The 14,213-nt window shown below is 35.2% G+C and overlaps 2 pseudogenes across 2 annotated transcripts in view; one reads left to right on the top strand and one right to left on the bottom strand.

Moving 5' to 3' along the window:
- Positions 1-14,213, top strand: part of DPY19L2P2 (DPY19L2 pseudogene 2) — a 105,454-nt pseudogene that overhangs the window by 14,134 nt on the left and 77,107 nt on the right. Inside the window, exons 7-9 of one of the 2 annotated variants that reach the window (NR_003561.2) lie at positions 7,741-7,889; positions 8,609-8,729; positions 11,458-11,551. The product of NR_003561.2 is annotated as a DPY19L2 pseudogene 2, transcript variant 2 (transcript). The remainder of the gene's footprint in view (positions 1-7,740; positions 7,890-8,608; positions 8,730-11,457; positions 11,552-14,213) is intronic. The other variant, NR_027768.1, reaches the window with a different exon arrangement.
- Positions 3,853-4,382, bottom strand: S100A11P1 (S100A11 pseudogene 1; annotated as a pseudogene).

Genomic DNA, 14,213 nt, shown 5'->3' with positions numbered 1-14,213 from the left:
CTCAAATTGTTCACCAGTCAGACTGTGGCTAAATGCCTAGTGTGGCTTAGCAAGGGTATTTGCAATTGCTTACAGACATTTTTACACAGACCTCATAAGGTGCTGACAAAAGATTAGCAAGAGTGCTCAGAAAGCATCCTCCATGGTAAAGCCTGGGAGAACAGGAGCCACTTAGAGAAAGGCATGAAACCCACCCACCCCCCTCTTCCTTATCTCCCCTATAAGTCTTACACTCTCTTATTTTAAACTGCTGGGGGAAAGGTAACAAACAATGTCCTTTTCACATTACTGGTACAAAAATAGGCCACAGATCCAGATATAGTCCTTGAGCCTTACTTTTGCTAACCCCTTGATGCCTGTTTCATATCTTCTCTCTCCAGTTATCCCAAACCTCCTGTCCCCCTTTCACTCTCAGCAAATGACCTTGTTTTCTACTGTTTTCCCATGCCCATTATGTATTTCCTAGCTGTATCCCAGGTGCCTACTTCCTGGAATATGGAGTTGATTCAATATCATATTTGTTGAATGAATGAAGCTATGCAAATTTCCTTGTGCTACATACTCAGTAGTCAATGGATACAACCTAAGCACAACCAAAATTAGGTTTATCTGTATCCTTACCTGCATTTGGTATTGTCACTATTTTTTATTTTACTCATTCTTACACATATGTAGTGATATATCATTATGGTTTTAATTTGCATTTCCCTATTGGCTAATGATGGTGTACATCTTTTTGTGCTTATTTGCCATCCATATGTGAAACGTGTCTTTATGTATTTTGCTCCATTTCTATTTGAATTGTTTGTTTTATGAATTTTGGACCTTAGGATGTTCCTTACATATTATAGATGCTAATTATTTTTCATATATATGGCTTGCAAATATATTTTCCCAGTCTGTAGCTTGCCTTTTCATTCTCTTAAACAGGGTCTTTTGCATAGTGTTGTTGAGTTTGTCTCAATTTTGGGGGAATTTCTGTCTAGTTCTTCTATCAACTAAAAGAATTAGTTGAAAATACTAATTCTAGTTTTTTGACAGAGGGATTCTGAAGTCTCCTAGTAAAATTATGTATTTGTACATTTCTCCGTTGACGTCTGTTTTTCTTCACATATTTTGTAGCTCTATGTTTGGCGCATATGCATTTAGGATTGCAGGGTCTTCTTGTTGAATTTTTTAAAAAATAATTTAACGATGACTTTTTCTTCCTTCTCTGATAATTTGTGCTTTTTTCTGATAATGGCATCGTCACTTCTGCTTTCTTTTCATTACTGTGTCTATGATAAATTCATCATTTTCCATCCTTTCACTTTCAGCCTGACTTTATTATTATATTTGAAGCGAGTTCCTTGTAAACGGTTGGGTAATATTTTTAAATCCAATTTGTCAGTGTATCTCTTAATTGGTATGTTTACCAATTGACCACTTACATTTAATATAGTTATTAATATGTTAGAGTTTAAGTCTGTGATTTTATTTTGTGGTTTCTATTCTTGGTTTTCAATTTCTGTTTGCTTTTATTTTAACCTTCTTGTGGCAGAACATTTTATTTGAACATTGTTTAGAATTATATTTTGATTTATCTATTTTTTAAATATATCACTTTACAAAGCTTTTTTTAGTGGTTCTAGCAATTGTATTACCACAATTTATTACAATCTGTTGCTGCTGTCATTTTACTGTATGTTTTAATCATCAAACTTATTTTAAACTCAAGTTTTACACATATTTTATAAACTCAGGAAGAAAGTGAAAGCCTGTTTTATTTTATCCATGTTTTTTATTTCTTCCTCTTTGATGTTCCAACATTCCTTCTTTTATCATTTCATTTCAGTTTAGGGGATTTTCTTTAGCTACACTTTTAGAATAGATGTCTGTTGTAAAAGTTCTGCTGGCTGCATTTTTTTTTTAATTTTTAAATTTTTTAATTTTTTAATTTTTTAATTTTTTTTAGTTTTTCTTAGAGAATGCAGTTTCTTTTCATTACTGAAGGATATTTTTGCTGGACATAGGATTCTGGGTCGATAGTTTTTTTCTTTCAGCATTCAGCAAGTGTTGTGCCATTTTGTTCTGGCCCTCCATAGTTTCTAATGAGAAATCCGCTGTTAGTTGAATTCTTTTTCTCCTTTAAGTAAGGTTTTGTTTCTCTCTTGTTGGTTTCAGTATTTTTTAAAATTTAGTCTTCAAAAGTGTATCAAAGTATAATGTTCAAAGTTCAAATGTTTTCTAAAGTATGTTGTATTTTAGTGTGGATTTGTTTAGATTTCTTCTGTTTGAGATTTGCTCAGCTCCTTGAATATTTAGGTTTATATCTTTTGCCATATATGGGAAGTCCAGTCATTATTTCTTTTTCTTTCTTTTTTATGTATGTATGTATGTATTTATTTATTTTGAGACAGAATCTCACTCTGTCGCCCAGGCTGGAGTGCAGTGGTGAAATCTCAGCTCACTGCAACCTCTGACTCCAGCTCACTGCAACCTCTGACTCCTGGAATCAAGGGATCCGCCCACCTCAGCCTCCTGAGATGGGCAACCACCATGCCTGGCTAATTTTTTTGAATTTTTTGTAGACATGGGGTTTCACTATGTTGCTCAGGCTGGTCTCAAACTCCTGGGCTCAAGCAATCTGCCTGCCCTGGCCACCCAAACTGCTGGGATTACAGGCATGAACCACCGGGACCAGCCTCAGTAATTATTTCCTTGAATTCTTTTTCAGCCCTGCCTCTTTCCCATCTCCTTCCAAGACTCCAATGATATGAATGTAGGATCCTTTGTTAAAGTTCCACAGGTCCCTAGGGCTGTTTTGTTTGTTTATTCTGTTAGCATCTGTTTTTTCTCTTTTGCTCAGATTGAGTAATTTCTATGGTTCTGTCTTCTAGTTTACTGGTTATTTTCTTCTATCTCTGCCATTCTCCTCTTGTGCAATCCATTAAGGTTTTTAATTTTGATTATTTTATTTTTGAGTTATGAAAATTTTGACTTTTCTTTATGTGTTCTATTTTTCTGCTGACACTTTTTCTTCTTCCAACTTCTATTTTAGGTTCATGGGATACATGTGTGGGTTTGCTGTATAGGTAAATTGCATGCAGTGGGGGTTTGGTGTATGGAGTATTTTGGCACCCAGGTAATAAGCATAGTACTCAATAGGCAGTTATTCAGTCTTCACCCTCCTCATACCCTTCACCCTCAAGTAGGCCCCAGTGTCTATTGTTCCCTTCTTTGTGTCCATGTGTACTCAGTGTTTAGCTTCGCTTATAAGTGAGAACACACAGTATTTAGTTTTCTGTTCCTGCATTAATTCACTTAGCATACTGGCCTCTAACTCCTTCCATGTTGCTGCAAAGGACATTATCTTGTTCTTTATAATGGCTGTGTAATATTCATGGGGTATATGAACCACCACATTTTCTTTATCTGTTCCACTATTGATGGCATTTAGGTTGATTCCATGTCTTCGCTATTGTGGATAGTGCTGCAGTGAACATACATGTGCATGTGTCTTTATGGTAGGCTAATTTATATTCCTTTGGGTATATACCTAGTAATGGGGTTGCTGGGTCAAATGGTAGTTCAGTTTTAAGTTCTTTGAGAAATTTCCAAACTGCTTTCCACAGTGTTTGAACTAGTTTACATTCCCACCAGCAGTGTATAAGCATCCCCTTTTCTCCACAACCTCACCAGCATCTGTTATTTTTTGACTTTTTAATAATAGCCATTCCGATTGGGTTAGTGTGGTTTTGATTTGCATTTCTCTAATGATTAGTGATGTTGAACCCTTTTTCATATGATTGATGGCCACATAAATATCTAATTTTGAGAAATTTGTGTTTATGTCCTTCACCCCCTTTTTTTTTCATGTTTTAAAAAAGTGACATTGTATTATTACTATCCACAGGTGGGGCCTGCATGATGTGGTAGGTATGCTGGGCTCAGGGGACATGTGGGCTGTGAGGAGGAGATGATGACAGAAAGGCTGGAAGGAAAGGGGGTGGGTTTGAAGGCCAGGCCCAAGGGGTCCTCAGGTCTACTTCTGGGAGGGGACAGCCTTGAGGAAGGAGTCATGGCAAGCCACAGCTAGGCCACCAATCAGATTAAGAAATTTTGGGAAATCTAACTGCCCATCACTGCTGACATCCAGTTTCTTCATGTGGTCAAGGACACCGGGGTCCTTCTGGTTCTTTGTAAAGGCAGCCAGCTCTGTATTCATGAAGCTTAGGAACTCCGTCTTGGAGAGATTGCGGTTGTAACCATCCTTTCCAGCATACTTCTGGAAAACAGCAATCAGGGACTCAATGCACCGCTCAGTCTCTGTAGGGCTGGAGATTTTTGCCATGTTGGAGCTGAGCAAGGCATGGGAGGCTATGACTGGGAGTGGCACAGAGTACCCATTTTTTAATGGGGTTGTTTTTTTACTTTCAATTTGTTCCTTTATGGATTCTGGATATTAGACCTTTGTCAGATGAATAGTTTGCAAATATTTTCTCCCTTTCTGTAGGTTGTCTGTTTACTCTCTTGGTAGTTTCTTTTGCTATGTAGAAGCTCTTTAATTTAATTAGGTTGCATTTGTCAATCTTTGTTTTGTTGCAATTGCTTTTGGCATCTTCGTCATGAAATTTTTGCCAGGGTCTATGTCCAGAATGGTATTTTCTATGTTTTCTTCTAGGGTTTTCATTGTTTTAGGTTTTACATTTCAGTCTTTAATTCATCTTGAGTTGATTTTTGTGTATGGGGAAAAGAAAGGTGAAGTTTCAGTCTTCTGCATATGGCTAACCAGTTATCCCAGCATCATTTATTGAATAAGAAGTCCTTTTTCCTATTGACTTGTGTTGTCAGGTTTGTTGAAAATCAGATGGTTCTAGGTGTGTGACTTTATTTCTGGGCTCTCTATTCTGTTCCATTGGTCTATGTGTGTGTTTTTGTGCTAGCACCATGCTGTTTTGGTTATTGTGGCCTTGAAATATAGCTTGAAGTTGGGTAGTATGATGCCTCTGGCTTTGTCCTTTTTGCTTAGGATTGCTTTGGCTATTTGAACTATTTTTTGGTTTCATATGTGTTTTATTTTATTTACTTATTTATTTACTTTAACCTTATTTATGTTGAAGGAATATCCATATAAGTTTTAGAATAGTTTTTCTAATTATGTGAAAAATGTCATTGGTAGCTTGATAGGAATAGCATTGAATCTGTAAATTGCTTTTGGTAATATGGTGATTTTAACAATATTGAATCTTCCTGTTCATGAGCATAGAATGTTTTTCCATTTGTTTTTATTGCCTCTGATTTCTTTCAGCAGTGTTTTGTAATTCTCATTGTAGAGATTTTTCTCCTCTCTAATTAGCTGTATTCCTAGGTATTCTTTTATAAGTTTTTTATTACTTTTTTTGTGGCTATTGTGAATGAGATTGCATTCTTGATTTGGCTCCCAGCTTGGACATTGTTGGTGCATAGAAATACTACTGACTTTGGTACATTGATTTTACATCCGGAAAGTTTGCTGAAGTTTTAAAAAGACATATCTAGGAGCTTTTAGTCAGAGACTATGGGGCTTTCTAGGTATAAAATTATATTGTTTACAAAAAAGATAGTGTGAATTCCTGTCTTCCTGTATGGATTTATTTTCTTTCTTTCTTTTGCCTGATTGCTCTGGCTGGGACCTCCGGTACTATGTTGAATAGGAATGGGGAGCGTAAACATCCTTTTGTTGTTCCAGTTCTCAAGGCAAATGCTTCTAGCTTTTGCCTGTTCAGTATGGTGTTGGCTATGGGTTTTTCATAGATGGCTCTTATAATTTTGAGGTATGTTCCTTCAATGCCTACTTTGTTGAAGGCTTTTAAAATGAAAGGATGTTGAATTTTATCAAAAGCCTTTTCTGCATCCATTTAGATAATCATGTGGGGGTTTTTTTAGTTCTTTTATGTGATCAATCATATTTATTGATTTGCCTGTGTTGAACCACCCTTGCATCCTAGGAATAAAGCCTACTTGATTGTGGTGGATTAGCTTTTTGATGTGCTGATGGATTCAGTATGCTAGTATTTTGTCGAGGATTTTGCATCTATGTTCATCAGAGATATTGGCTTGAAGTTTTCTTTTTTACATTGTGGCTTTGCCACATTTTGGCATCAGAATGATGTTAGCCTTTATAGAATGAGTAAGGGAGGAATCCCTCAAGTTTTTGGAATAGTTTCAGTATGATTGGTATCCGCTCTCCTTATATGTCTGGTAGAATTTGGCTGTGAAGTCACCTGTTCCAGGGCTTTTTCTGGCTGGTAGGCTTTTTATTGGTGATTCAGTCTTGGAACTTGTTATTGGTCTATTCAGATTTTTCATTTCTTCTTGGTTAAATCTTCGGAGGTTATATATTTCCAGGAATTTAGCCATTTCTTCTAGGTTTTCCAGTTTGTGTCCATAGAGTTGTTCGTAATAGTCTCTCAGAGTTTTTTGCTTTTCTACAGGGTCAATGGTAATATCTCCTTTGTCATTTCTGATTGTGTTTATTTGGGTCTTCTCTCTCTTTTTCTTTATTAGTCTAGCTAGTGGTCTATTAAATTTATTTGTTCTTTCAAAGAACCAACTTGTGGTTTTGTTGATCTTTTGTATGGTGTTTTGTGTCTCAATTTCATTCAGTTCATCTCTGATTTGGTTATTTCTTGTCTTCTGCTAGATTTTGGGTTGGTTTGCTCTTATTTTTCTGGTTCCTCTAGGTGTGATGTTAGGTTGTTAATTTGAGATCTTTCTAACTTTTTGAAGTGGGCATTTAGCTCTGTAAATTTTCCTCTTAACACTGCTTTAGCTGTGTTCAGCGATCCTGGTATGTTGTGTCTTTATTTTCATTAGTTTCAAAGAATTTCTTGATTTCTACCTTAATTTCTTTGTTGACTCAAAAAGTCATTCAGGAGCAGGTTGTTTAAATTCCATGTAATTATGTGGTTTTGAGAGATGTTCTTAGTATTGATTTCTGTTTTTTTGCTGAGACTATCTATTTCTCTGGTAAACTTTTCAATTTTTCCATTTGTTTTAAGCATGCTCATTAGAGTATATTTATGATTGTTGCTTTAAAATCCTTGATAATGCTAATATTTCTTTCATCTCAGTATTGGAATCCATTTATTTCTCATTCAGTTTGAGATGTTTCTGGTTCTTGATGAGTGATTTTCACTTGAAACCTAGACATTTTGAGTATTATGTTATGAGACTGGATTTTGTTTAAACCTGCTATTTTAACTAGATACCTCTGGTATCACTCAAGCAAAGGAAGGGGAAAAGGGGGAAGGCACCATCTTGTTGCTTTCAGGATCACCTGAGGTCAGGAGTTTGAGACCAGCCTGGCCAACATGGTGAAACCCTGTCTCTACTAAATATACAAAAATTAGCCACGCATGGTGGTGGGCACTTGTAATCCCAGCTACTTGGGAGGTTGAGGCAGGAGAATTGGCTTGAACCCAGGAGGAAGAGGTTGCAGTGAGCCAAGATCACACCACTGCACTCCAGCCTGAGTGAAAAGAGCGAGACTCTGTCCCCCCCCCAAAAAAAAAAAGCCCAGGGAAGGTGGAAGTCTAGCTTCCCCACTTGGCCTTTGTTTATATGGTAGGGGTAGAGCCACATTTTTTTTTACTTTTGACTTTTTGGGTACTTTTTGTATATTTGTCTTAGTCTGTTTTGTGCTGTTTGAACAAAGTATCTGAGACTAGGTAATTTATAAAGAATAGAAATTTATATGTCACATTTCTGGAATCTAAGAATTCTGGAGTCCAAGGAAGACCAAGATCAAGGCGCCAGCAGATTTGGTGTCTGGTGAAGGCTGCTCTCCGCTTCCAAGATGGTGCCTTGATGTTGCATCTTCCTGAAGGAGAGGAACACTGTGTCCTCACATGGCAGACAGTAGGAGAGTAAGTCAGCTTTAATCTCACTCATGAGGGGGGAGTCTTCATGGCCTAATCACCTCTTGCAGGTCCCATCTCTTAATACTATCACATTGGCCATTAAGTTTCAATACCTGAATTTTGGATGGGACACATTCAAACTATAGCAGTGCCCATTGGCATTTCTGGATTGCCAGCCTCTTTAACTCCAAATCTGAGAAAATGAGGCACAAAGAGAGCCCACGGAACTCATAACCATATGAGTTATGGTACATTTCTAAATGTACATTTCTGCTTCTGGTCTCTACTCTATTGCAGTTATCTATTTGTCTATTGCTGTGCCAATATCATAGTGTCTTTTTACATTAGCTTTATAATACAGCAACAATTGATAGTGCAAATCCTCCTTTTTCAAGAATACCTTGACTGTATTTGGCCCTTTGCATTTCTGAATAACTTTTAAATCAGCTCATCAAAGTCAACAAAAAATATGTTGGAATTTTGACTGGTAGAGCATTGAATCTATAAAGCTTTTTAATATCAAAACATGCGGTGTTTGGTTTTTTGTCCTTGCGATAGTTTGCCGAGAATGATGGTTTCCAGCTTCATCCATGTCCCTACAAAGGACATGAACTCATCCTTTTTTATGGCTGCATAGTATTCCATGGTATATATTATTATTATTATTATTATTATGAAGAGAATGTATTTACCTCAATTATCTCTTTGTTTTTATCTTTTTTAAGGTAATCATAGCCTCCTGGTATCGCACATTCATGGGAATAGTGAATTTATTTGGACTAGAAACTAAGACCTGCTGGAATGTCACCAGAATAGAACCTCTTAATGAAGTTCAAAGCTGTGAAGGCATGTTTCCTCCAAAAATGCTGTCATTTGTAAACATTCATAAACATTTAATAATATTATGATTCACTTTTAAGAATTATTGTAAAATTCTGTTGTTGATTTAAAAAACATTAGAACTGACTCACCTCAATGAGTATTTTACATTTTGAAGTAGTTTTCTGAGAAGGCTGTGTACTTAAAAATTTGAGTATAAATTTTGGAATTTGAGTATTAACATATCCCATTGTAAGGCAACCTTGACTATAAGTTAGTCTTCTATTTCAGAATGAGAAGATACAGAAAGATGTTTTTTGGGGTAGCTTCAATATATAAATTTTGAGGATACATTAAATAGTCAAATAGCTATTTGTAATAGCTAATGTATAAATTTAATTATGCATACATATTTAAAAATTGGATATGCCATAATAGATTGATTTAGAAATATTACATTTTTATATATGCTCATAGTCCATGAGTAGTATTAATAAAACTCTTCCTATTTATCTTCTACATTGGTTTCTTTGTCAAAGAACCGCTTTTGGAATCATCTAACAGCTTTCCAGGATACATAGTGGTCACTTCCATTTAAGATGTTTGCATTTCAGCACTTTTACAATTCAAGTATGGTGCTGTCCCTTGAGACTCTCGTTCAGAGCCACTTGTATCTATTTTCATAACACTAACACTGTTGTTTTTTCTTTATTTCTTCAAATTCTTAACAACATGACTTACTATATTTTATGAATAAATTTTTAGACTTGTTTGTAACAACATTCAACTCTTGGGATATAAACTAAATCTATTTTCCTTACATTTTTTACTGATTCCCTCAGTAAAAATAGAATTGATGAGGATGTTTGAGGGGCAATTATACTTTTTTGTGTACAATGTAAAGGATTGGAGAAAATGCCTCATAAAATGAAAGACTTTGCAATGATTCAATCAGCTAGAAGGTGTGACCCTGTCTGAGTGGTGAAAATGATCACCTAATTATGGTATTAGTTACATTCCCAATAAGTGATAGGTTAGTGTTTGGCACTTGGGACACAGAGATGAACCAGCTAGATGTGGGGCCTTACCCTCATAGAGTTTATGCTGTAAGGGGGCTGTTAGCAGTTACAACTGTGATGGATATTACAAATAAGAAAATAAGGTTACCGACACTAGGAGTAAGAGAGGATAAGTATTTTAAGAATAGGGAATAATATATTCAAATATCCTGAAGCAAGAGAGAACTGAAAGAAGGCTAGAAATCCTAGAAGCGATGGAGAAGAAAAATGATGTGAAATGGTGCTGGGAATATAAGCAAGGATGAGATCATGAAAGGGGTGCACTGGTGTAGGATTTTATACTTTATCCATTGAAGAATTTTAACAGAGTTCCATTTTAAAACATTATTTAGTCAATGGTATGGAAAAAATATTAGTAAAGGAACAAAAGTAGGTTAAGGGAGGCCAGGTAGGAGACAATTATATTCTCAGCAAGTGATTGCAGGAAAGATAATGTGGAAATGCCTGGGTGTGAGAGAGATTTTGGAAGCAGAATGGACAAGACTTGGTAATTGTTTGGTAAGAGAGGGGAAGGTGAGTGAAGAATCATGTGAAACACAGTTTGGTTTCTAGCTTAAGTAACTGAGCTCCTTTGAGTAATAGGAAACATTTGAACAGCAGCAGGTTTGTATTGTTATGTTTCATTGTGTATGCATGAATTTGAGGTACTTGAGAGACCTCAGAGTGGGGACATCAAGTGGCTATCTGGGTATAAGAATAAGGAGAAAGTTCTGGATTAAATGTAGAGTTGGAGTCATCTGTATATAGATCATTGGAGCCATGGATGTGGAAGAATTTGCTTATGGAGGATGTGCAGATGGAGAAATGAAGGGGGCATATGACAGAGCCTAAGGTGGTCCAATATTAAAGAGTGGTACATAAAACAAGAGGAGTTACTAGAACTGACTGAAAGGAGCGATCAGAGAGGCAGGGGGAATCAGAAGGCCAGCTTTCAGACCTTGGCTCCAGCCAGTTAAAGTGAAATAACCTTTGACAAGTTGAGTATCTTATGTTCTGTTTTCTCAACCATAAGAAAAGTATTTTTATACCAGCTAATATCATAAACTTGTTCTGAGAAAAATGTGGGATGATTGTTAAGTACATATTGCCACACACACACACACACGATCTTCTATATGGAATATACTAAGATCCTAGCTATACATAATAATGGATCAAATGACTGGATCATTTCATATAGACTAAAGCTGTACCCTAAGGTCAAAACCATATCTTAACTCTTCCTAGAACGTAGCAAAAGATAAAAATAATGTAATGGATTTTCTTTTATATTCATTAAGTGGTTCTACAGACAGTTCCAGACACTGAACACCAGCAGCATCACCTAAATAAATGTGAATCCCCAACAAATCATTACAGTATAATAGTAATTCATTAGAGGAAAGTATAAATGCAATTATAAAAAGTATAAAGTATAAGTGTAACTAATCGCTCATTAAGGGTGAGCTTACATATGTGTATGTGTATATATATACACACACACATATATATGTGTCTGCAAGCACACACACACACAAACTCTTATAAGGGTAAAGAATTAAATACAGCAGCAATCTGGAAAGCAAATGCTTTCAGCAAATTCATGAGCTCTTGATTGCAAAGCACTGAGATAATTATGCCCACTTGCTTTGGAGTCATATATTCATTAAACACTGATTATCTGTATTTTTTCAAAGGATTGCGAGATCCTGCTTGCTTTTATGTTGGTGTAATCTTTATTTTAAATGGACTAATGATGGGATTGTTCTTCATATATGGAACATACCTAAGGTAAGACTACTACTAAATTAAGAGACCTTTCAGTGGGCTTTTACAGACTGGCTGATATTTGTTGATTAAATGAAAAGGAAAATTAATGAGATTAGATTCATATCAGGAAAGTTTGTGGATTTACTTGATTTTTCAGAAGCTTAACCAATATCATGTAACCAGAAACTGGAGATGTCACTAAAATTCTATCTCAAAGTCATCCCTTTTATTCTGTTGTTTAAACAGATTTCCTAACAAAGGCTTTAATGGAATATCTCCTAGTTCATGTGTAAAATTAATAAAACATTGGAGGAGATCTTTGGTTAGCAGTTGTAGCAGCTTATTTCTAATTGTATTCTCTAAGGATGAAATTAAGAAAGCAGTAGGCAAAATTGTGAATCACATGTGGCAGGCACTTACATCTGCTAGCATGTCTATCTTGATAAGAGTACCACAGTGAAGCAGCAGTGAGACCGGTCTCAGGTGATAAGTTGAAATTAATTTCAACGGTCATGTGTTTTGCCTCCACACTTAATTGCTCCCTGAGATAGCCATACCAGCTAGTTTTTGCCAATGAAAACTAAGTTGAAGTCAGTTTTGGTTACATCTAGTAAAGTATCTGCCTTTCTCACAAAAGGACAGACTTAGCTGCCCCTTCTCTGTTTCTTCCTGCTTTTATTACACTAGGATGTCATGCCCAGAGCTGTAGCAGTCATCTTGTGACCATAAGGGAAAGGTCATAAAAATAGCGGATATATCTGGCCTACCATCCTTCTGCTGCTGAACCAATGCCAACAGATACTTACCTTTCATTTTCTTGTTGAATGATATAATAAACAACATCCATATTGTGTAAGCCACTTTTGTTAGGTTTTCTGTTTCTTTCAGTGGAGCATATTCCTAGCTGAATCATCAGATTTCTTTACAATGGTATTCTTGTTGTGCAAAACATTTAAAATTAAAATTAAAATTAATTGATAGCTTTACTCTTTCAACAAATATTTATTGAGTTTTCATGGGGCTTCTGTCAATACAGAGATTAGTAAATACACACACTCTTTGTTTTAGGAAGTTTTCAGCATAAAAAAGACTAGCATAGAATCAATGAAAACTAATGACATAGTCAGTATTGTGCCAGGGATACTATCCAGCACGGTAAATAAAAAGAAAAGTAGTAATAAGTATAAGGATTGGAAAACTTGAAAAAAAAGAAATAAGTGTTCTTAAAAGTAGATTACATCATGTATCTAGAAAAATTTTAAAAGTTTATGGATACAGTATTTGCAATAATAAGAAAATTTACAATGTTACTAGATGTAAGCATTAATATTAAAATTCAAAATTATAAATTTTATACTTTAGCATCAAATAGAAAATGAAATTTTGAAAGGATGCTATTTAGAATAGCATTAAAAGCATGATATTCCTCAGAATAAATCCAACAAAAGATACATATGACAGCTATGGGCAAATGATTAAAACATTCCTGAGATATGTCTAGGAAAATCTAAGTGGAGAGATATTCCACATTCACTGATTGAAGACTTGATATTTAAAAGCTTTATAGATTCAATGCTCTACCAGTCAAAATTCCAACGTATTTTTTGTTGACTTTGATGAGCTGATTTAAAAGTTATTCAGAAATGCAAAGGGCCAAATACAGTCAAGGTATTCTTGAAAAAGGAGGATTTGCACTATCAATTGTTGCTGTATTATAAAGCTAATGTAAAAAGACACTATGATATTAGCATAGCAATAGACAAATAGATAACTGCAATAGAGTAGAGCCCAGAGCAGAAATGTACATTTAAAGGCATTTGATATATGGAAGAGTGGGTATCGCAGATTGGTGAGTAAGGACAGGCATTTTAATAAATAGTGCTTGAATAATTGGGAGATCATATGGAACAAGGAGAAATTGGAACTATATAAGTAATAAATCCAAGTTGGATTAAACACTCAAATATGAAAGACAAATTTATAAAGTGTTCAGCGTATAATATAGAAAAAGTCACTTGGAATAAGAAATGATTTCATAAACAAGATACAAAAATCCAGTCATGAAGAAAAACTGATAAATTTGATGAAAAGAACTTCAGTTCCTCAAAAGAACTGTAGGATAAAAAATAAACCGCAAAGTGAGTGAAGATATTTACAAAGTATATGCCCCACCTACTATCCAGAAATTTCATTCATTAATTTGATAAATATTTATTGAAAGACTGTTGTGACCAGGAGCACTGTTCTAGGTGCTTGGAATACAGAACAGAAATCTCTGTCCTCGTGAAGTTTATATTAGAGTGGGAAGATAAAGAGGAAAGACAACCTGATAGAAAAATGGACAAATTGTTTATGAACTGATATTTCCCAGAAGAACTCCAAATGGTCAATAAACATATGTAAAGTTGACCACCATCATTAGTCATCAAGAAAATACAAATTCAAACCACAGTGAAATACCAACTCACATCTAATAGATTGATAAATGAGCTTTCATCCACCGCAGGTGGACATATAAATTGGTACAACTGTTTTGGTAAACAGTGTACATTATCTGATAACCTTCAAGATATAGATACCTTGTAACTCAGTAATTCTAATTTAAAGTATATATTCCCAAAAAAGTCTTGCACATGTGTACTGGGAAGTACATACAATAATATAGTAGCATTATTTGCAATAG

Source organism: Homo sapiens, chromosome 7 (assembly GCF_000001405.40).
Source record: "Homo sapiens chromosome 7, GRCh38.p14 Primary Assembly".
Classification (NCBI taxonomy): domain Eukaryota; kingdom Metazoa; phylum Chordata; class Mammalia; order Primates; family Hominidae; genus Homo; species Homo sapiens.
This window is presented reverse-complemented; position numbering and strand designations above follow the sequence as displayed.